Source organism: Homo sapiens, chromosome 2 (assembly GCF_000001405.40).
Source record: "Homo sapiens chromosome 2, GRCh38.p14 Primary Assembly".
NCBI lineage: Eukaryota > Metazoa > Chordata > Mammalia > Primates > Hominidae > Homo > Homo sapiens.
This window is the reverse complement of record NC_000002.12, coordinates 110,335,716-110,359,126: the sequence shown is the minus strand read 5'-3', so window position 1 is coordinate 110,359,126 and position 23,411 is coordinate 110,335,716. Positions and strand designations below refer to the sequence as shown.

Here is a 23,411-nt window from a genome sequence, read left to right as displayed (position 1 = left end):
TATTTTGTTCTATGTAGTTGAAAATCATTGGCTAAGTTCATTATAACCTCCTTTCTGCATCTTACCCTCATCCACACCCTTACAGCCTTTCATTAATTGTAAATTCTTATGTCTGTATTTTCCATATCTACTTAGTACTACTTTTTGGAATGAATCTTTTATGCCCTGCTCTGGTCAATAATCTTGGGTGAAATGAGAACACAAAGCCAGAGAGACCAGGTTTCTGTAGTTCTCTAACATCGGATGCTAATACAAATTCTGCTGTGCAGTGCCCAGGCATTGCCACCCCTCTGGAGAGAATTCTATGGCTACATCCCTGAATGTCAACAGTTCCATTTCTAGGCTTGCAGCAGGTTCTGGTGTCTTAGCTATGGATCTCCCAATACCTGCTGGTCCATAGAGACTGGGCTTCTAGGAACAGAAGACACAGAGCAGTGAACAGGAGCCAGTTTCATTCTGCCTATGGATAGGCAGTTATCCCAGCACTATTTATTGAATACGGAGTCCTTTCCCTATTGCTTATTTTTGTCAGCTTCACGGATGTTCACTTGGTTGTAGGTGTGTGACTTTATTTCTAGGTTCTCTATTCTGTCCCACTGGTCTATGTATCTGTTTTTGTACCAGTACTGTAGTGTTTTGGTTATGTAGCCTTCTAATATAGTTTAAAGTTGGATAGTGTGATGTCTCTGGCTTTTTTCTTTTTTCTTCTTTTTTTTTTTTTTTTTGGCTTAGGATTGCTTTGGTGATTCCTGCTCTTTTTTTCATTCCATATGGATTTTAGAGTAGTGTTTTTCCTAATTCTGTGAAAAACAACATTGGTAATTTAATAGGAATAGTGTTAAATCTAGAGATTGCTTTGGGCAGTACGGCCGTTTTAATGACACTCATTCTTCCCATCCATGAACATGGAATGTTTTTCCATTTGTTTGTGTCATCTGTGATTTTATTCAGCAGAAATTTTTGTTATTCTTGTGGAGTTCTTTCACCTCCTTGGTTAGATATATTCCTAGGTATTTTTTTGTGTGGCCATAATAAATGGGATAGCATTCTTGATTTGGCTCTCAGCTTGGATGTTATTGGTGTATACAACTGCTGCTGACTTTTGTACATTGATTATATATTCTGAAATTTTACTGAAGTTATTTATCAGTTGTTTGAATTTTTGGTAGTCTTTTAAGGTTTTATAGGTATTGAGTAATATCATCTATGAAGAGAGATAATTTGACTTATTCTTTTCCTGTTTGAATTTCCTGTTTTTCTTTCTCTTGCATAACTGCTCTGCTACGACTACCAGTACTATGTTGAGTCAGAATAGTGAGAATGGGCAACATTGTCTTGTTCTGATGCTTAAGGGGAATGAATCCAGCTTTTGCCAGTTCAGCATGAGCTTGGCTGCGGGTTTGTCATAGGTAACTCATTATTTTGAGGTATACTCCTTTGATGTCTAATTTGTTGAGGGTTTTTATCATGAAGAGATGTTGGGTTTCATTTAAAACTTTTTCTGCATCTGTTGATGATCATGAAGTTTTTACTTGTGTTCATGTTTTTTGTAAATTTTATTTGGTGAATCACATTTATTTATTTGCATATGTTGAACCAACCTTGCCTCCCATGAATAAAGCCTATTCAATCATGGTGAATTAACTTTTTGATGTGTCGCTGGATTCAGTTTGCTAGTATTTTGTTGAGGATTTTTGTGTCTGTTCATCAGGAATATTGGCCTGTAGTTTCCTTTTTTTGTTGTGCCTGTGTCAGATTTTGGTATCAGGATGATGCTGGTTTTATAGAATGAGTTAGGGAGGAGTTCCTTCTCCTCAATTTTTGGGGAATGTTTCAGTGGGATTGGCACCAGCTCTTCTTTGCATGTCTGGCAGAATTTGGCTGTGAACTAATTGGTCTAGGACATTTCTTGGTTAGTAGGTTTTTTATTACTGGTTTATATTTTTCGAACTTGCTGTTGATCTGTTCAGGATCTCAATTTCTTCCTAATTCTCCCTTGGGAGGTTTTGTGTTTCTAGGAATTTATTCATTTCCTCTAGATTTCTAGTTTGTGTGCACAGAGGTGTTCATAATAGTCTCTGAGGCTTTTTTGTATTTCCGTGGGTATCAGTTCTGATTGTATTTATTTGAATCTTCTTTCTTTGTTAGTCTACCTAGCATTCTATCAATCTCACGTATTCTTTGAAAGAACCAAATTTTAATTTCATTGATCTTTTATATGGCTTTTTGGGTCTCAATTTTATTTCTGCTGTGATTTTTGTTATTTATTTTATTCTGGTAGCTTTGGATTAGTTTGTTCTTGTTTTTTTAGGTCCTTTAGGTGTGATGTTAGATTGATAATTTGGTATCATTCTAGCTTTTTGAGGTAGGCAAACCACTTAAGCACTATAAACTTTCTTCTTAATACTGCTTTTTCTACATTCCAGAGATTTTGGTAAATTGTGTCTCTGTTTTCATTTATTTTAAATAATTATTTGATTTCTGCTTTAATTTTGTTAACTCAAAAGTTATTAAGAAACAAGTTCTTTAGTTTCCATTTTATTGTGTGATTTTGAAGTATCTTCTTGATATTGCCTTCTATTTTTATTCTCCGTGGTCCAAAAATATGCTTGGTGTTGTTTCTTCATTAAAAAAAGTTATTGAGACTTGCTTTATGGCCAAATATGTGATTGATCTTAGAGTATATGCCACGTGCAAATGAAAAGAATGTATCTTCTGTGGTTGTTGGGTGGAACATTTTGTCAATTTTTATTAGGTCCAATTGGTGAAGTGTTGAATTTAAGTCAGAATTTCCTTGTTAGTTTTCTGCCTCACTCATCTATTTTTCTAATTAGTATGATTCAGTTTTTTTTCTGACATTGCAGTTTTCTGCACCTATCACAACACTTCAAGAAGACTATTACAAGAATACTACAAATTTTACACAAAATATCATCAAAGTAGTGACACGTTGGAGAAAAATCATGATAAATATTCAACAAAACTAGAACATACATTTGTATATTCTTTCATTAATTGTATTAGTTTTTTCCTCTTTTTGTGCCCGTACTTATTAGAATCTTTTTCATAAAAAAGAAGTTTTCTTTCTTTATTTTTTTGAGACAGGATCTTGTTCTGCAACCCAGGCTGGTGTGCAGTAGTGTGATTATGGCTCATTGCAGCCTTGAATTCCTAGGCTGAAGCAAATCCTCCCACCTCAGCCTCCCAAGTATCTGGAACCACAAGTTTGTGCCACTAGACCCAACTAATTTTATTTTATTTTTGTAGAGTCAGGGTCTTGGTATATTGCCCAGGCTGGTCTTAAACTCCTGGGTTCAAGTGATCATCCCACCTTGGCCCCCCAAAGTGCTGGGATTATAGGTGTTAGCCACCACACACCGCAGCAATTTTTGACTAGAGCTGATTGCAAATGTTTGTAGAGAAGAATTGAGAATGGTAACACTGGATGACCAAAATTTGGTGTAGCTATGGTTAAGATTTGATGAAAGTTCCCAATAGACAAGGAAATTTTGTTATTTCTATTATTTGCAGCATTTTAAGATAACAACCAGAATCATTATGACAGTGTCATGTTAGAGACATCAGGCTTTCATAAATTTTATATCATCTTTAGAATATTCACATTAATAACATACCCCTACAAATATAACTTAAGATTTAATATAGTAATCAAAGTTATGACTGATAACAAATTAGCTTTTTGTAAATTTATATAAGTTTTGGAACATTTATGTCAATAATGTACCCATAATTGTAACAGAAAGATCTAGTATCAATTATCATTTGATAATACTTTACAAAGAATCTGCCAAATAAGTCTAATTATTTAATACAAAAAGACTTAATTTAGGATTTTCATCCTGAGGGAACATGACAAAGATGTCAAAAGTTTCAAAAAACTAGATCAAAATAAAACCATAGGTCACTGGAAAATAAAAGTTATTCACACAAGTAGAGTGGTAATCAAAATACTTCAAAAGAAATACAGAAATTTTTATGAATGTAAAATCCTTACCCCTTTTAAATTTCAGTTTTCCTAAGTAATATGAAACCTAATAAGAATAGTGCAGAAATTGTTTTAATAAAACATAAAATCTCTTCTTTTTAGACCAGCTACTGTAAAGGTAAACAAACAAATAAACAAAAATCCCCACAAAACCTCCTATAGTGTTGATTTAGTTTGGATGTGTGTCCCCTCCAAATCTCATGTTGAAATGTTACCTCTAGTGTTGGAGATGGCCTAGTAGGAGGTGTTTGGGCCATAGAGGCAGATACTTTATGAATGACTCATTGCCATCCCCATGGCAATGTGTGAGTTCTTGCTCTGGTAGTTCATGCGAGAGCTGGTTGTTTAAAGGAGCTTGACACCTCCTCCTCTCTCTTGCTCCCTCTCTTGCCATGTGACATGCCTGCTCCTCATTCACCTTCCACCATAAATGTAATTGTAATCTTCCTGAGGCCCTCACCAGAATCAGACGCTGGCACTGTTCTTCTTGTACAGTCTGCAGAACTGTGAGCCAAAATAAATGTCTTTATCATTTACCCAGTCTCAGGTATTTCTTTATAGCACTGCAAAATGGACTAACACAAATATGACTAATTCTCCTTATGGGAAGCCCATTTAGATATCCCGGAAGTCAAGCCTGATAAAAAGGGTAGTTGAGCTTAATCAGATGTAAGAACAGCGTGTTCAGGGTTATATGTGTACACGATAGTATAAAGGAATGTAAACAAGAAAACTCATACCTTGAGCACAGAAATACATGGCTCTCAGCAACAGCATGAGAATTCCCCTCTACTGAAGAAAAGCCAAGACTACAGAATCAAATTATTCTAGAGGAAAACACTGCTATTCTAGACCTTCAAGATAAACATTTTAGTGTCCAGCCACAACATCAGAGGTAGAGTAGAAGAAAATAATTATGGGAGTTAATAAAAATATTGAAGAAGAGACTTATCCCAGGTAAGCAAACAGATTTACCTTTTAAGGGAATAAAGAACAGAAGGCAATGATATATAAACTGCAAATCACATTTAGTGAGAGAGAGCAGAATTTGAACTTCTGAGACATAAATTTGAGAAATTTCAAAAAGAAACAGATAAAACCTCTTGTAATTTTATTAAGAACAAATAAATACTTTCAGAAAATCTTATTCTAACACAGGGGACCAATTTTTAGTTTTGTATTAGTGTATTTTTAATATCAAAGCTCCATATTTAGAGAGATAAATATTTGTGTTACAGCAAACTTAATCACACACAAACTTCCTTTAATAAACTCTCTTTTTCATTTTAGACCAATATCCTTGATGAATATTGATGCAAAAATCCTCAATAAAATACTGGCAAACCGAATCCAGCAGTACATCAAAAAGCTTATCCACCATGATCAAGTGGGCTTCATCCCTGGGATGCAAGGCTGGTTCAATATATGCAAATCAATAAATGTAATCCAGCATATAAACAGAACCAAAGACAAAAACCACATGATTATCTCAATAGATGCAGAAAAGGCCTTTGACAAAATTCAACAACGCTTCATGCTAAAAACTCTCAAGAAATTAGGTACTGATGGGACGTATCTCAAAATAATAAGAGCTATCTATGACAAACCCACAGCCAATATCATACTGAATGGGCAAAAACTGGAAGCATTCCCTTTGAAAACTGGCACAAGACAGGGATGCCCTCTCTCACCACTCCTATTCAACATAGTGTTGGAAGTTCTGGCCAGGGCAATTAGGCAGGAGAAGGAAATAAAGGGTATTCAATTAGGAAAAGAGGAAGTCAAGTTGTCCCTGTTTGCAGATGACATGATTATATATCTAGAAAACCCCATTGTCTCAGCCCAAAATCTCCTTAAGCTGATAAGCAACTTCAGCAAAGTCTCAGGATACAAAATCAATGTACAAAAATGACAAGCATTCTTATACACCAATAACAGACAAACAGAGAGCCAAATCATCAGTGAACTCCCATTCACAATTGCTTCAAAGAGAATAAAATACCTAGGAATCCAACTTACAAGGGACGTGAAGGACCTCTTCAAGGAGAACTACAAACCACTGCTCAGTGAAATAAAAGAGGATACAAAGAAATGGAAGAACATTCCATGTTCATGGGTAGGAAGAACCAATATTGTGAAAATGGCCATACTGCCCAAGGTAATTTATAGATTCAATGCCACCCCCATCAAGCTACCAATGACTTTCTTCACAGAATTGGAAAAAACTGCTTTAAAGTTCATATGGAACCAAAAAAGAGCCCGCATCACCAAGTCAATCCTAAGCCAAAAGAACAAAGCTGGAGGCATCACGCTACCTGACTTCAAACTATACTACAAGGCTACAGTAACCAAATCAGTATGGTACTGGTACCAAAACAGAGACATAGATCAATGGAACAGAACAGAGCCCTCAGAAATAACGCCGCATATCTACAACTATCTGATCTTTGACAAACCTGAGAAAAACAAGCAATGGGGAAAGGATTCCCTATTTAATAAATGGTGCTGGGAAAACTGGCTAGCCATATGTAGAAAGCTGAAACTGGATCCCTTCCTTACACATTATACAAAAATTAATTCAAGATGGATTAAAGACTTAAATGTTAGACCTAAAACCATAAAAACCCTAGAAGAAAACCTAGGCATTACCATTCAGGACATAGGCATGGGCAAGGACTTCATGTCTAAAACACCAAAAGCAATGGCAACAAAAGCCAAAATTGACAAATGGGATCTAATTAAACTAAAGAGCTTTTGCACAGCAAAAGAAACTACCATGAGAGTGAACAGGCAACCTACAAAATGGGAGAAAATTTTTGCAACCTACTCATCTGACAAAGGGCTAATATCCAGAATCTACAAAGAACTCAAACAAATTTACAAGAAAAAAACAAACAACCCCATCAAAAAGTGGGCAAAGGACATGAACAGACACTTCTCAAAAGAAGACATTTATGCAGCCAAAAGACACATGAAAAAATGCTCATCATCGCTGGCCATCAGAGAAATGCAAATGAAAACCACAATGAGATACCATCTCACACCAGTTAGAATGGCAATCATTAAAAAGTCAGGAAACAACAGGTGCTGGAGAGGATGTGGAGAAATAGGAACACTTTTACACTGTTGGTGGGACTGTAAACTAGTTCAACCATTGTGGAAGTCAGTGTGGTGATTCCTCAGGGATCTAGAACTAGAAATACCATTTGACCCAGTCATCCCATTACTGGGTATATACCCAAAGGACTATAAATATGCTGCTATAAAGACACATGCACACGTATGTTTATTGCGGCACTATTCACAATAGCAAAGACTTGGAACCAACCCAAATGTCCAACAATGATAGACTGGATTAAGAAAATGTGGCACATATACACCACGGAATACTATGCAGCCATAAAAAAATGATGAGTTCATGTCCTTTGTAGGGACATAGATGAAACTGCAAATCATCATTCTCAGTAAACTATCGCAAGGACAAAAAACCAAACACCGCATATTCTCACTCATAGGTGGGAATTGAACAATGAGAACACATGGACACAGGAAGGGGAACATCAAACTCTGGGGACTGTTGTGGGGTGGGGGGAGGGGGGAGGGATAGCATTAGGAGATATACCTAATGCTAAATGAGGAGTTAATGGGTGCAGCACACCAGCATGGCACATGTATACATATGTAACTAACCTGCACATTGTGCACATGTACCCTAAAACTTAAAGTATAATAATAATAAAAAAAAGAATAAAGCTGAAAAAACACACCTTTCAGACAAACAAAACATTACTAGATAAAGATTTAAAAACCTAATAGCATTTACAACATAAAACGTCCAATAATAAATCTAACGAGATACACACCATCTCTACCCCCCCAAAAAACCCACAAAAATCTGTTTAGAAAAATAAAAGAAGACATAAATAAATGGGAGGATAAGCCATGTTCAAGAACTAGAAGACTCAACATAGTAATAATGTCATTTCTCTGCCAATGGATCAATTGTTTCTATGAAATCCCAATAGAAATCCTAGCAGGTTCCTTTGTAGATGCTAATAATCTGATTATATGGAAATGCAAGGACCACAAATAGCCATTGTTGTTGAAAAGAACAAAGTTGCAAGACAGACTACTCATTTAAGACTTATGTAGCTACAGTGATTAGGACAGGGTGATATCTATACAAGAATAGAGTACAACACCTGTGGAACAGACATGAGATTCCCAAACAGACCTGCATGTTTATGAAATGTTTGATTAATGACAAACCTGGGTAATAATTCATGTTAGGTTCCATGCCAATTGGATATCTATTTGGGAAAAATTTATTTTGAACCTTAACTCATAACCTGTATATATAACAAATCAACAAAATTTGCAGGAAATAAAAAAGGAGAGTATATCAACTGGAGCGGGACTTACCGTAGACGCAAAGAAGCATAATTGGGACACAGCCTGAGGAGAACATTGTTTGTTCCGGTGCTGAGCCCAGAGGCGATTAGGGTCCCCGTTTTGGGCTGAATTGTGTTTCCTTAGATTCACACACAGAAGCCCTATCCCCCAGTACCTCAGAATGTGACAGTCTCTGGAGGTGGGGCCTCTTGAGAGATAACTGGGTCAAAATGAAGATGTGGGAGGGGGCTCTACTCCAATGTGACTGTTGCCCTTATTAGAAGAGGACATTTGGACACACACAGAGACACCAGATGGAGGCACAGAGAAAAGAACATGTGGGAACACAGGGAGAAGGTGACCAGCTGCAAGCCAAGGAGAGAGGCCTTGGGAGAAACCAACCCTGCTGACACCTCGATCTTGGACTTGTAGCCTCTAGAACTCTGAGGAGGTAAGTTTCTGTTGTTCAAGCCCCGCCATCTGTGGGATTAAGCTATGGCAGACAGAGCAGACAAACACAGACTGGAGAGTTCCATGTCACAGAGAATGGCTGCAATAATATTAGCCTGGAAAAGGTTTTAGTGTTATCTAAGGGTCATTTCACTACCAATATTACGATCACATGTCCAACCCAGTTAAAAATATACCCCTCAATAACGGAAAAGCACACAAATGCCTGTACGTGATTGTTACGAACCCACCAGTGAAATGTAATTTGGACACAACCACCTCTGGGACCCACTTTACTCAGCCCCTGGTCTCCAGGTATATGGGTGGGGGGTCACAAGATTCAGGGGTTGGTCACCTCAGAGGCAGAATACCTCAGCTGGAAGATAAGAAACGATGGCAGATCCCTGGGCACCTCAAATCACACCATCTGAAGGTGTCATGGTGTGGCGGTTGACAGCAGGAACCTGGGAGTCAGCCAGACTGGGTTCAAATCCTGGTTCTGCCATCACTAACCGTCTGATGTGGGCAAGTTATTTAAAGTCTCTGTGCCTCAGTTTACATACTCATAACACAGGGATAATAATAACTGTGTCTGGTTCATAGAGTTGTCATGAGGATCACATAAGCTGACATTAGATAGCATTAGAACATGCCTGGCATGTGGTAAGCACTCCCATTGCTTTAAGAGAGGAAGCTTGCCAACACCATCAGCAGAGATCTGGGGTCAGCCCTCAGTTGGAGCCCCCACTGAGGCTAACTATGTATGACGCATGTAACTTTTGGATTATCTATCGCAAGATTATCTGGTTACTTCCGTTTGTACAGTGGACTGCCTGCAAATGGGTGCCACAACAAAGACCATGAGAAGACCACACCTCAAAATGGGGAGAAGTGGAGACATCAGCAGCACTGTTGGCTCAAAGCCGGGAGCTGCACTTGCAGCTCTGCCCTTGACCCTATGACCAGGGACTGACTTGGGTGAGCAGAACGAGGGTGTTCCCCGGAGGGCGATGCAGCATTGCAGCCTGTTAGACGGCCTCAGAGCGGTGCTGGCCCCATCCATCGAGCCACCTTGAGCAAGTGGCTGAGGCTGGTCTGAGCTGGTTCCCTCACACCCACTCCTTTGCCTGCTGGAGTCCTTGCATACACACTTGCTCCATCCACACACCCGACCCAGTGCGTGGGAGTCACCGAGAGACTCCTGCCCTCACCTGCAGCTTTCCTAGAACAGCTCCACTCAGCCATAGGTGGCTGTTTCCTGAAACCTTACATCTTGGGCCCTCAAAGCTGCAGGCCCCAGACAGGGCATTTGGAGCAGGCAGACCTGACACTCGCCTGGTGGAGAGAAAGCGGCGCTCTGGCAGGTGAGGCAGCCCATCTGTCCAGGCAGGGCACTGAAGGTGTCCGCAGGGCAGAGCCGGCAGTCTTCAGCTGCCCTGGCCCTGCTGCTGCTTCTGAAGGTCCCTGCTGGGCAGGGCCTTGGGCTGCGAGTCCCTGCAGGGCAGTAGTGGCCCACCGGGCAGGAATGGCCCTGGTAGCTCTCTGACCCTGGAGGAACACAGAGGGGAAATTCTGCCCCAGCCGAGGCAGGGACTGAGAGTGGACTGGGGGTGTCCAGGGTAGGGATATGCCTGCTGAGGGAGGGGGGAAACAATGCAGTAAATGGGGGAAGAATCTAGATTGTGGGGGCAGTAGAGGGCTCTGTGCCCTGTAACCCCTCACCCTCCCCGCCAGCCCCTTGGTCTCCCTCTCAGTCAGGTGCGGGGCGCTGGGCAGTGGCTTTCCTTCTCTCCAGAGTGCCTGGGCCACTGGCTCCGACACATCTGTGTGCATGCTGCTCTGCCCTGTGTCTAGAGGACTTTTAAACCTGACACGGAGGCAGCTGACACTCACCTGCTCTGTGTCCCCATCCTCCACATGTTCTTGGGTCTGTGTCTTGGGCTGCTCCAGGCCTCTTGGGCTGTCCCCAGGCTCTGAGGGGCCCTCCCTGCCTGCGCCTCCACCCGCCTCACTGATCTCCACTCTGGGTCACCTCCAGTCCCGGTCCCCCTGCTCCTGCCCAGGCCTCCCAGGGACTCACCCTGGGGGCAGCTGAATCCAGGCGGGCAGGGCTGTAAGGGTAGAGCATCCAGGGCCCGGCTGCGGTAGGTGCCCGCTTCACAGAGGCGGCAGGCAGCATATCTCCTCAGAGACCCTGAGGCTGGTCCCATTCAGGGCTTCGGAGCCCCCAGGGCAGGCACGAGGTTGGGCACTGCCCGGGGGGCAGTAATGGGGAAAGACACAGCTGCAGAGACAGAGCCCGGCTGGTTCATGCTGCCGGAACCTGTGTGTGCGGTGGGTTCTCTCGCTAGCGGGGGCCGACTTTCCCTGGCCTGGGGCCTCAGCTGCTAGCGGACGGGGACTCTGCTACTGTCCCAGTCAGGGGTCCTGGGGTTGCCTTGTGTCTGGTGGGGCCACGGCACCAAGCTGCCTTTCTGGTGGTGGATGAGCCATGCCCAGTTAACCAGGCCGGCACTGCCTGCCCATTCCACCCTGGGCAGAGGGGTGTTGTGGAGTGGATCTGATGTCAGGGTGTTAGTCCCAGACACGGGATGGGGCTTACCAGATGAAATACTCCATGCCCAGTCCTATTCAAATTTCAAATAAACAATGAGAATGATTTTAGTAGAAGTGCACCCCCAATATTGCATGGGCCATACTTACAGTAAAAATGCATTGTCCTTTACCGGCAATTCAAATGTAACTAGGCGTGCTGTATTTTTGTGAGCTCCATCTGGCTGCCCCACCAGGATGAGCCTGCACTCTGATGGGGCATCCCAGGGCAATGTGCTTCCTCACCCCACCTTCCCTGGGGCAGAGGCAGGGGCTGGCCCTAGCTGGGAAGCCCAGGCAGAGGGTCACCAGGGCTTGCTTTTGGGCCCTGCCCTTTGGCTGGATTTCTGAGGCACACATGCTTGTCATGGTGGGGCCTCACATAGGGTGCTGACAGCAGTTCCAGGGCTGGGGTTGGGGCTCAGACCCTTGGGGGGGTAGGGGGAAGGAACTCACCGCTGCCCCAGGCCACTGTAGGTGGAGGAGCTGACAGGGCAGGCATAGCCCCCCGGGGCAGAGTGGGGGCAGCCCCGTCTGAGGCCCACAGTAGGAGCCGGGCCTACAGGGGACCTCAGCCACAGCACCTGAAGAGACAGGGCCAGGGATGCGGGAGAACAGGCCACAATGTGGGCATGGTTTGGAGGACACCCCAAGTCCCTTCTTCACCCATCAATGGCACTTGGAAGCCAGGAGAGGTCCAGAGCCGGAGGAGAACTCAGGAGGGTCCCCAGGCTCCCCAGGTGAGGCCTGGGCAGGGAGGACAGCAGTAGGGTGAGGCCTCTGAGGTGGTGGGGAACAGTGTGGAAACCAGGAAGGAGTGCGGAGCTTGCAGGTGAAGGGAGATCTCGTGTGGTCAGGGAGGGTGACTCGTGCGGGTGGTGGTGTCATGAACCGAGATCAATGGCAGGAAGTTCCCGTGTCTTTGTGCAGCCAGCCGCCGCGGTGGGGAAGGAGGATGCATTTCATGAGGTGGAGGTGGGAGCTCTGATGAGGACGCACAGGGCAGTGGCACTGAGGCCACAGCTCACCTGAGGGCAGCCAACAGGAGGGTGCTTTTGGTTGTGCCTTGAGGTGTGGCAGGTACTGGACACTTTGTAGGGGGCATGCTATTTCTAGTTAAACCTCTGGCCGGCCTCCTCCTTGACCCAGATGGGGAGGAAGAGGTGACTTGAAGGCACCTTGGTCTGGGGACATCCAGGTGGTGTGGATGCCACCAGAGACTGGGTGTGCCTTGTGGGGGCTGGTCAGGTGTGGCTGTGCCACATCTGTGGCCTGAGCTCAATCAGGGCTTTCTGCAGAGCTCAGGCATGAGCCTCAGGGATGAGGGAAGGGATGGGAAGGGGCTGGGGTCATCCTGCAGCCTCACCTGCTGGGCACTCAGATCCAGCTGGGCAGGGGATGGCAAACACATTTGCATGACCCTGAAGCTCAGGGTCTGGGCAGTGGTAGCCAGGAGGGCAGAGCTCACAGTCTTCCTGTGCTGATGCCCCTGGCTCTGACCTAAAGGTGCCAGGTGGGCAGAAAAAGGCACCCTGGTCACCTAGACACCAGTGGCCCGGAGGACATGGGTGGTCTTCAAAGGAAGAGAGACCTGGGGGCAAAAGCATCAGGCTAAGAAGGGTTGCCTGAGGGGCTCCTGACAGCCTCTTCCCTCTCCTCCCCAAGGCCCCCACATCCAGCCTGCAGACAGGCTCTTACCTGGCCATGGGCAGTGGTACCCAGCAGGGCAGGGGAGGCACTCCGCCTGACTATGGCCTCCATCTGTTGCCAGGTAGGTATGCTCAGGGCAGGCCTGGGGAGCTCCCGAGTGGGTCTCACTTCCTCCAGGGCAGTAGTGGCCAGAGGGGCAGGCCTGGGTGGCCGGGGTGCCTGCAGAGCAAGGGCTGCCCTCACTTTTCTCCCCAGATGTGGGGCTGGAAGGTTCCAATCTCACAGGTCCTTGGCTGGGGTGATCCCTCAGCCAAGGTGATCCCTCAGCCATCCCCACCAAACAACTCAAGCCACAGCAAATGCCCAAAATGTACTTTAACCACAACCACAACCCTCTGCAAGCCTTCTTGCCTCAGGCCTGACTCTAGCGGGGCACCTCTCCTCTGGCTTCCTCCCACCTGCTCAGGGGCACAGGTGCAAGCCGGAGGAATCAGATCTGTCTGCAGTCCTGGGACAGGAGGGCGAGTTGGGCTGAGAGCGGAGCCCAAGGATACAGTCACGGCAGAAGGATCCCAGGGGGCAGGGAGCCCCTGTCACCCTGTCCTTTGGAGAAGGGGATGATGCACCTTCTGCACAGAAGTAGCCAGGCTGGCAGGGCCCGCTGGGGGTGGAGAGGCCTGGAGGTGGAGGGGAACTGGGTTAAATGCTGAGTAGACTCACTATAAAAGACGTTGGCCTTTGGAGCCAACTGGGATCCCTGTGGGCATCAGTCCTCGGAGGACTCGGGGTGTGACTAGAGTACTCAGCTAGAACTGAGAGTTATACTAGTGGTCATGCCTTTGCTGGGCCTGCATTGAGCCTGTGTTGAGCCTCTGCTGAGTCTGTGCTGAGTCTTTGCTGAGCCCTGTGCTGAGCCTGTGCCGAGTCTGTGCTGAGTATATGCTGAGCCTGGCCTGAGTCCTTGTCCTGAGCTTGCATTGAGCGTGTGCTGATCCTGTGCTGGTTGTGTCCTGAGCCTGGGCTGAGCCTCTGCTGAGTCTGTGCTAAGCCCTGTGCTGGGCCTGTGCTGAGCGTAGGCTGAGTTGTGCTGAGCCCTGAGGCTGAGTTGTGCTGAGCCCTGAGGCTGAGGCTGTGCTGAGCCCTGAGGCTGAGTTGTGCTGAGCCCTGAGGCTGAGGCTGTGCTGAGCGTAGGCTGAGTTGTGCTGAGCGTAGGCTGAGTTGTGCTGAGCCCTGAGGCTGAGTTGTGCTGAGCCCTGAGGCTGAGTTGTGCTGAGCGTAGGCTGAGTTGTGCTGAGCCCTGAGGCTGAGGCTGAGCTGAGTCTGTGCTAAGCCCTGTGCTGAGACCTGAGACTGAGTTTGGGCTGAGTCTGTGCTGCACCTTTGTGGAGCCTGTACTGATCCTGGGCTGAGCCTGTGCTGAGCCTGAGCTAAGTGTGCCATCTGCTCCTGCCCAACCCTGTGACATGGGTACTACTCTCATTCACAAAGAGCCTCAGGTCATCATCAGTAAGGTGCAGAGCTGACATTAGAGTACAAGTTTAGCCAACGCAGCCTAAGGTCTTGACCTCAGGGGCTGTAGAGCTGAGAGCCTCCCAAGGCAGAAGGAGCCTGGTGCATGCCTGGGTGCTCGGTGCCCAGCAGGGTTGTCCACAGCAGGTGCTTGGGAAGTGCAGGCAATCAGACATGGGGAGTACAGAGAGGGATCAGGGAGGTGCCACTGAGCCCCTCCCTGGGCATAGAGACCTGCTGGCCTGGCCACTCCTCCCTACCTTGCTGTTCTGTGGTGGCTGGCCTGCGTTCACCCAGAGTGACAGCAACAGTGACAGTTTATGAAGCACAGTCCTGCCAGGAAGCATGCCAGGCACAGCCCCCTGAGGTAGGCAGGCAGTGCTTCTCATTGGACAGGGAAAGATGGCGGTTACATGTTCACCCTCACATTGGTTCTCCCACCAGCCACAGCCTAGGCCACAGCACGATAGGTCCTTACCAGAGGTGCCACAGAAAGAGCCTGGTGGGCAGGGCATGGGCTCTGGGCTGCCCTCTGGACAGTAGGAGCCAGCAGGGCACTTTTCCCCTGTGGCTGTGGCTGGGCACAGGCAATTGGTGCTGGTGTAGTTGTCCAGGTTGAAGGGGCGGGCGGTCCATGCCACAGACACACAGAACCATCCTGGGGTAGAAACCAGTGGGGAGGGGTGGGTGGTGGGCCAAGGAGTCCAAGGCCAGGCTTACCAGGCTGCAGGCCCACCCATCCCTCCCAGTAGCTGCTCCAGGAGATAGTCTGGATGACCCCAGGTCCAGGGGCAGAAATGGGAAGTGCAGAGATGGACAGGGGGCTTCTTAGGGCAAGGCAGGAGACTCACCTGCCGCACAAGGCCCAGAGGCCCGGGTCAGGTTCTCCTACCCGCAGCAGTGGCCTGGGGGACAGGGCAGGCAGCTGTCCAGGCTCTGGGTCAGTGGGTCTGGGTCGTAGTAGCTCCGAGGGCAGGGGAACTGGGTGGCGTACTTCGTGCCTGAGAAGCAAAGTTCAGAGGAGGGGAGCCCAGCTTGCTGGTTCCTGAAGGCGCCCTCTGCTCCAGGGCCTGGGGCAGGGGAGGCTCAATGTGGCCAGCTGCTCCCTGTACCCCTCCTCCTGCAGGGCTGGTCCTTGGCAGACTCCCCACCCTCAACCCCACAACTCACTCACTCCTGGCCTTCCAGGCCGGAGAGTTCAGCCCCTGGGCTGGGTGGCCCTAGACCCAGGCTCCACAAAGCCACAGCATGTGCACTACTCCCCTTCCTGGTGCTCAACTTCACTGAAAGGCACGGGACCCAAACTTTCTACATTTTGCTAAAGTAATTTCACATATTTGTTTTTTAGCCAACACGGATATGCTATGGAATACAATGTAAAACCTTCGGGCATTTTAAAACACAGCTGGAGACTTGGATGGAACTCATACTTGTCACCAGCTGCTTAGAGCTCATCCTTGGAGTGCCCTCATATCCCTGGCCTTCAGGACGGGTGGTGGGAAAGCCCGGAAGCAGAGGACACACCTATGCATGTGTCTGTTGCCACAGAGTTTGCATTGCTGTGAGCCCCCAAGTCCCCAGCTGAGCCTAGAGCAGCTGTACAACTCTGCCCAGCCTCGCCCCGGGAAGTTGTGGCCTAGGCGCTCACCTCGGGGCAGTAGAAGCCAGCGGGACAGGGGTGCCTGCTGTAGTTGGTGACGTTCTCGGGGCAGTAGTAGCCAGTGGGGCAAGGGAAGCAGGAGGCCTGGCCAGTCAGGTAGCTGTAGGAGCCAGCAGGGCAGGGCTGTGGGAGGCTGGTTCCCCTGGGGCAGAAGTGGCCTCGGGGACAGGGGCCCCCCTGCCCTGAGTGGCCTGAGGGGAGGAAGGAAGCTAAGTGAGGAGTGCACACCCCAGTCCCAGCAGAGAGTGCCAGAGCTGGGGGAGGCTTGTGCCCCGGCACCAGAACCAAATGTGGACTCCAGTTTAGGTCAGAGGTTTGTTTTTGAGAGGAGCCGTGCTTGTGACTGGCATTTGTACCACACCTTACAGATCAAAAAGCATGTGTTTTACACAAACGTCACATTATTCGGGCCTCAGAAAAATCCCTGTTTGGTAGGTGGACAAGAGCAATGATTGGTTTTTACTGAGGATGAAGTCCTAAGACGTTAGCGGGCGAGCCAGGATCTCCCTGGACTCTGCCTTGGCTCAGAGCTGGTTTTCCAGACATCCCTCCCAGTGCTCTTTCTAGGACACACCATGATTGTGCACTTTTCAGTAAAACAGGCTGACAGACCAGGGCTTTCCCACTGAGTTGTACTAAGCCAGGCCAGCTGCTTCTGTTTTGGTCTTTTGTCCAGGTTCAGCAGCCTGAACGGGGGCTTGGCTCTGGCTCTCCAGTCCTCATCCATGATGCCCCAGAACTCAACCTTCCATCTGAGAGCTGAACTCGCTCCTCCAATGTTCTCTGAATAATGGAAGTGTCAGAGCAGAGGGATTCAAGGATCCTGGCCAAGGATCAGCTGCCCTATCTGCCTTCACATGTTCCTGAGGACCCAGAGACTCCAGGCTGCCCCCTGACCACTGGAGATGGCTGCAAAGGGGGCGTCCTCTGGAAGATGGTCAGCAGCCTCTAGAGGAAGCAGACATCCTGGACGCTGACCTCCAGGGCCTAATGCTCTGCCCCCTCTCCTGACCTGCACCTCGAGGGGGATGTGTAGAGGGTCTGCTCTGGGAGTCTTGGCTGTGGCCCCCACCTACCCAAGAAAGCCAATGCCCACGATCAGCTCAGCTTCTGGGTGGCCCATGGGGCACCATTCGGTGTCCACTGACTGCAACCCCCTCCCCCCAACACCCGTCCTCTCTGTCCACCTCCCGGCAAACCTGTGGTGGATTCAGCAGGTCTGAGTGAGACAGAGGTGGGCTGGGAGGCCGCAGGTGTGACCGTAAATGGGCAGGGCAGCCAGACCACAGCACGCCTCAGCCATCTGACTCCAGCCCCTCTTACATACGTCCCCTCCATCCTCAAACCACCCACAGCCCATCGGTGCCAAACCATGAGAGCCCCCACCTCAGGGCGTTGGGTGGTACAGGGCTCACCCGCTCCCAGGGGGCTCCACACCTGTCGGGGTTGGGGAGGAGGCTCCTGCCAGACAGAAGTAGCCGGGGGAGCAGGGGCCAGAGGGCGCAGCCAGGCCAGAGGCACCACAGAAATGGCCAGGGGGACAGGACAGGCCCTCAGAGACCATGGAGAGAAACATTCTGGGGAGACAGAAAGAAACCCAGGAGATGAGCCAGGGAGGGGAGCAGGCGGGAGGAAGGGGCTGTGGGACCAGGCCTCTCTGAAAGGGTGGACCCAGGCGCACCCTGGCAGAGACCACCTTTCCGCGATTTCCTTTTCATCTCTCCTCTCTCAGGCTCCCTGTGACTCCTGCCTACACTGGCTCCAGGTAGCATTTCCGGCAGGTGCCTGAGGGAAAGTGTGGCAGGGCTCTTCTCTCTGTCTCTCTTTCCCCTCTGAGATATGCACCTGGTTATAATTCTTCTCTGTCTTAATCCCAATTCAAGCTCAGGCCGTCCAGGGCCACAGACCTCTGTGATCTGGCAGCTACAATCAGAACATCTAACAGTGCCCCACACTACCCCCCGCCCTCCCCTGAGCCATCAGCTCCACGACTGGCCCTTGCTTTGGGCTGTCTTCTCTTGGGAGCTGGGAGGGTCCTAAAGATGAGGAGATGGGTCTGGTCTCAAAAGAGATATCGGCAGACACAAATTCTTAATGGCTTTGCTTTCTTGAGTATGACGTGTTCTCAAGCCCCTCAAAGCCCGCATGGCCTGCCCTCGATCTGGCCCCTCCAACCGACACTCCCCAAGGCTTTCTGCCCTCGCAGCCCAGGTGGAAGTCCGGCTCTCCAAGCCTCACACTCTCCCATGGCTGGGGGATGTTGTTGGTCAGCTGTTAAGTGGAAAGGAGGACCGAGAGGAGGTCTGGGCTCAGCCCCTGGGACCAGGGCAGTGGCACTCATACTCACTAACCTGAGAAGGTGCCCATAGGGCAGGGCAGGGCCACCCCTGTGCCCACTGGACAGAAGTGACCTAGAGGGCAGGGCCCTCCCGCAGTCACATGGATGCCTTTATTGGGATGAGTGACCTCAGCTCTTGCCCAGAGAATCAGAAGTGGCTGAGATTGCAGAGCAGCCCTCCCTGGCCCCCACTCAGGCTCTCGACCACCCCCAGCTCACACACCCCTGCAGTGGGACATTTCCCAGAATAAGGGAGCAGAGCTCGCGAGCTGGAGTGACAGTGCCCTCCACTGCCAGGGTGGCTCTCAAGCCCAGGGACGGCAGTGGGCCCTGAGATGCGGCCCCTTCTGAATTAATTCTTGGCTATCTGTGCCAGACCCTGCTTAGGAGCCCAAAGCTGGGGAGAAAGCATGGGGGTTCCAGGACTTGCCCATCCTGTGGAAAGGTGGGTGTGGTGCCTTCAGCCCCACTCTTGGTGTGGAGGGCACTGCAAGGCACTGAAGAGTTGGGGCTCCAGACCCCACTCAGGGAGCCTCCAGATGAGTGTTCTAGAAACCTGCTTCCACTCCAGCTAAGCTTGTTTTCATTTACATATTCATTATGTCATCACTTATGGTTTGCTCAAACCCTTTCTGAATGAGATGGACCTAATTTAATAAAAATTACACTGACAAGTACTCTAAGGAGAAGGGGCCCTTATATTTCTATGGGAAGAGAAAAGAAACAGTAATGTGTGACTGTCCCTAAAGCCAACGGCTTTGTGTGAAGACATGTCTTATATGGGAGGGTGGGGACACCCGTGGAAGACGACACCTCACCCTCCCCACACAGGTGGCCAAAGGTGCAAAAAGAAGGTGGAGGAGCTCAGGTGAAAGCACTGGTGGCCTCACAGCATGCATGAAAGTTATCTCCACAACCACCAGCCCTCAGGTGACTCGGTAGGGGGAGAGGTCACCTCACCTCATGAGCTGTCTCAGGGAGAGGGAGGGTGGGGCTGGGGTTCAGGCCAGGGGTGGTTTTATTAGCCTCTCCACCCTGAGGTGTCCCTGGACCCTGTCCTGGAGCCACTGCCTGTGAAGCCAAAGTGCCACTTGGCTTGCTGGGTGGATGTTAATCCCACAACATAGTCCTCAGAGCCCTGCCTGTGGGCTGGGGGCCACCAAGGTCATGCTGGGACTATGCCAGGGTTGAAGGCTGGGCCTGCCACTCAAGGGCCTCGGGGAACACAGGTCCAGGCTGCCTCTTGTGGCTGCAAGGACATGTGGGAAGTCCTGCTCCTAAAGCTCCTCCAGCCCAGCACCCTCCAATTGACCTTTTTATGATCCTCCTTCTTTAGCTCAGCCCTTAACTTCTCCAGGAAAGCTGTCCTGATGCTGCTCTCATCTTTTGGGCAGCGTGGAAGCCTTGGCCAGGCACCAGCAGAGATGGGACATTTCCTGCATGTCAGAGACCCTGCAGAGACTGGATCCTACCTTTCTCTGTTATGCCCTCCGTCCCTGCCGCTCGCCTGCCCTGCGGGAGGGGCCATCGTGGCGGTGGGGTCCACGTCCAGCCCTGCCTCTCCTCAGGCTTATTCTGCTCTGCAGCCTCCTCCAGGACAGGTGTTTCTTTACTGCCCTTCCTGAGCTCAGTCTTATTTAATGCTCATCTCAGCTCTCATCTGAGGGGAGAACTCAGGATTCCCGAGTTAAGGGATTTCCCACAGTCAGGAAGTGGGTTCTGACTCCGCCCAAAGGCCCTGCCCTCTACCTCGCATCACAGACCTCTGGGCCCTGGGACAGCAAAAGAGGTTTTCCAGGAGCTGAGTCCCTTGGGCCCCACCGCACAGCCTTGCCCCCCCTCCTCACCTGCAGGACATGGCGGGCAGCTGTGGGCCTGGCTTCGGTCCTCCCAGGGACTGGACACGCCTGGAGGACAGGGCCTAGGGAGGTGGCTAGTGCCCTGGGGGCAGTAATGACCTGGGGAGCAGGTCCTCCCCTGGTGGGTCTCTCAGCCTGGAAAAAGGTGACCTCAGTCATCCCAAGGCCTCGCCCGTCCAGTGTGTAGGTGTCCTACTGTGCTTTCTGAGCAGGCCGAGTACCTGTGCCGTAGCTGTGCTCCCCGTCTTGCCGAGGTGTGGCCGCCAGGGAGCCCTCGAAGTGTCCCCACAGCCCACCAAGGGGTGTCGGGGTCTGCGCCCCTCCTGGGCAGTGGAAACCTGGAGGAGGGAAGCACCAGGCCGGCCTGCTCTCTGGAGAGGCCTGGCTCCCGCCTTCCCATGCACGAGGCTCCGGCTGTACCCGTGACTGCTGTGGTGGGATCGGGCTCTGGAGGTGCCCCAGTAAGCTCATAACGTAGGACCCTCTCAAATCCACATCTTCAAATCTGTGTCTCCCACATGGCCGAGTGAAGGTGGCAGTGTGGGCAGCAGCATAGTGGAGGACGGTGCCCGCCTCTCGTCTGTCTGGACCCAAACTTCGCCCCTCACTAAACCCATGGATAGCCTGCTGTGCATGGGGACCCCAAGCGCAGAGGCTCTTGAGGAACCTTCAGCCCATTTCTCAGAGGCTGGTCCAAGTGTTGTCCCAGGGACAGATGGGCAGTGCTCTCTGGAGAGGTGGCAGGCCTCCCTGGGCCAAGCAGAAAGAACCCTCCCCTCACCCTCCAGGACACTTCCCCCATCCCCTTCGCCTCCCGCAACACCCGGGCCTCAAGCTGGGAGGATGTGAGCAGCTTGGGAGCAGCTGGATGCTGCCGTCTGAGACCCCGCCCCACCATGTTCAGTATCCGCCTCTGCCCAGTCTCCAGCCTGCCTCCTCCTCATTCACACAAGCCTGGCCACACCGCCCAGGCACACCTGCCCTGGGCTCTCTCCAGCGTGCCTCTCCCCCAGGCACTGAGGCTCCCAGGGTGGCAGGTCCCAGCCGTGCTCTGCTTCATGCTCAGAGGGATGTAGGAGTCCTTACCTGGTGCATACGGGCCCCCAGGGGCAGCCTGGCCTGTGGTGGCACAGAAGAGCCCAGGTGGGCGAGGCAGGCACCAGCTTATGTCCTGTGCCCCTCTCTCTGCATTCCAGGTGCCAGCCGGGCAGAGCCACTGCCTGGGGTCCTTGGTGCCAGCAGGGCAGAAATGACCCGGGGGACAGAGGTCACCAAAGGGGAGTCCCTTCTAGAGGAAGAGGGGTCTGTTGAGGTTTACAAGCTGAGAGCAAGTGGGTTCTCTCCACTGGCTTCCCTCCTCTTCCTCCCTGAGCCCCTCTCTAGGGAAGCCTGCCCAGCTCAGCCCAGCCACACCTGTTCTGCACCGCCAGGAACCCTCTGGGAAACACTCAGGAATTTAACTTCAGAAAAAGAAAGTAAATTTTGATTGTTAAGTTGTTAAATAACCTAACCAATTCCAACTCTCTGCTAATATCACCAACACACAGCTTTAATTGTGATGAGGTGCAACTATCATCTATCAATTAATCAATCTATATTTATCATTTCTCAAATAATCAATCAATTATCTATCATCTATCAATCATCTATGCATCAAACGATGTACTTACAACAATTATTAATGCTTACCTAGTATCCCTCTAGGTTGATAAGCTATATCTCTGTCTAGATTTTTTTTTATTATTGGGCCTTTATGGTGTTTTGTTGTTGCTTTGAACGTTTTTTCACAAATGACTTTTTTCCCATTTCAGATTCTTTCCCACATTGGAATTACTGGATCAATTCCAATAATTCCAAGCTGCCCTAGGCTCTCGTTAGGTATTGCAAGACTGCAGCAGCCCCTGGGCCCAGGCTGCAGCGGAGAGCATGAGAGCATGGACTCTCCCACACGGACGTCTTATGAGGCCTTCAGCACTTGCTTTACTATCAGTAGTTAGTAGATGCGTCGGGTACTGAAGTGGCATTGCTTCATGTGCCCTTAATGTCAGCCCACTGAGCCTTTTCCTGGCTGAAGACATATTTGTATTTGGTGCCTTTTGCAGTGGGTACTGGATGCTAGCCTCTTGGGCCCTTCCTCACTGGTTACATGTTTTCACGGGCCATGTATAATGGCTGCAGTTCTACCCGCTCTGCAGTGATTTCATTCTATCTTCTCAGGGCTACTCTGCCCCTCACGGGGCAGGCAGGTGCTGGGCCTTTGCCCTGTGGTGTCCCTGACCCCTGCCCTGGGAAGGCCTGATAGGGCCTGCACTCACCAGGGACGAGGTGTTGGAGCCAGGCCCGCAGTGATGCCCAGGGTGGCACAGGCCCTGGGGCTCAGCCAGGCCAGCTTTGCCACAGAATGCCCCCAGGTGGCATGGCTGGCAGTATTCCACACGGGCAGCCCCAGGGGCCTTTCGGAAAGTGCCCTGGGCAGATAGAGGGATGTCACCAGGGTCAAGGTTCTGGAAGCCACAGTGGGGCCAGGGAGGAAGCAGAGCAGGGCCCTCCACCCTCTCTCCTTGGGCACACAGAACCAGGGAGAAGACAATCTGTCCTCACCAAGGACAGAGCCCTCAGGACCCATCCACTAGTGTGTGGGATTGAGGTTTCCATAGATTGAAGTCTGGCTGCAAAACAGAGGGGAGGCTGCCCCCACGGGGAGTACCACCTGCACCTAACTCCCCAGCTCCCTCCCCCCTCCCTCCTCCTCCCCACCTCCTGCTCCCTGGGCCTGGGTTACTCCATCCCTCGTGACCTTCTGGTCTGGCACCGTAGGGAAACTAGCCGTGGGAATGTGAGCAGCCCAGCCCTTATCTGAGTGGTGGGGGAGGCAGGGGCTGGGTATGGCCATGTCATGCTGAAGGGACGTTGTCCCTCTCAACCACCAGTATGGGGCCAATGGCTCCAGAGCCT

At 50.0% G+C, this 23,411-nt stretch overlaps 3 long non-coding RNA genes across 3 annotated transcripts, besides 2 other annotated features; all 3 read right to left on the bottom strand.

The window, feature by feature from the left end:
• Positions 11,997-12,680: an enhancer, noted in NCBI's record as "H3K4me1 hESC enhancer chr2:111104024-111104707 (GRCh37/hg19 assembly coordinates)". NCBI's record gives its function as "activates a minimal SCP1, AML or CMV promoter by ChIP-STARR-seq in naive H9 embryonic stem cells {active_cell/tissue: H9 hESC(naive)}" and the evidence as "EXISTENCE:reporter gene assay evidence [ECO:0000049][PMID:30033119]".
• LOC105375809 (uncharacterized) lies at positions 12,385-13,225 on the bottom strand. The gene is made up of 3 exons (XR_007087173.1): positions 13,139-13,225; positions 12,807-13,031; positions 12,385-12,468 (listed from the first exon to the last, which is right to left on the bottom strand). It is a non-coding gene; the product is annotated as an uncharacterized LOC105375809 (long non-coding RNA).
• A 1,947-nt stretch (positions 13,226-15,172) lies between these two features.
• On the bottom strand, positions 15,173-16,478 carry LOC124906061 (uncharacterized). The gene is made up of 3 exons (XR_007087172.1): positions 16,248-16,478; positions 15,451-15,600; positions 15,173-15,257 (listed from the first exon to the last, which is right to left on the bottom strand). It is a non-coding gene; the product is annotated as an uncharacterized LOC124906061 (long non-coding RNA).
• Positions 16,792-17,477: an enhancer, noted in NCBI's record as "H3K27ac-H3K4me1 hESC enhancer chr2:111099227-111099912 (GRCh37/hg19 assembly coordinates)". NCBI's record gives its function as "activates a minimal SCP1, AML or CMV promoter by ChIP-STARR-seq in primed H9 embryonic stem cells {active_cell/tissue: H9 hESC(primed)}" and the evidence as "EXISTENCE:reporter gene assay evidence [ECO:0000049][PMID:30033119]".
• LOC107985776 (uncharacterized) lies at positions 19,829-22,150 on the bottom strand. Its single transcript, XR_001739122.2, has 3 exons — positions 21,543-22,150; positions 20,678-20,794; positions 19,829-20,591 (listed from the first exon to the last, which is right to left on the bottom strand). It is a non-coding gene; the product is annotated as an uncharacterized LOC107985776 (long non-coding RNA).
• Between the last annotated feature and the right edge of the window lie 1,261 nt (positions 22,151-23,411).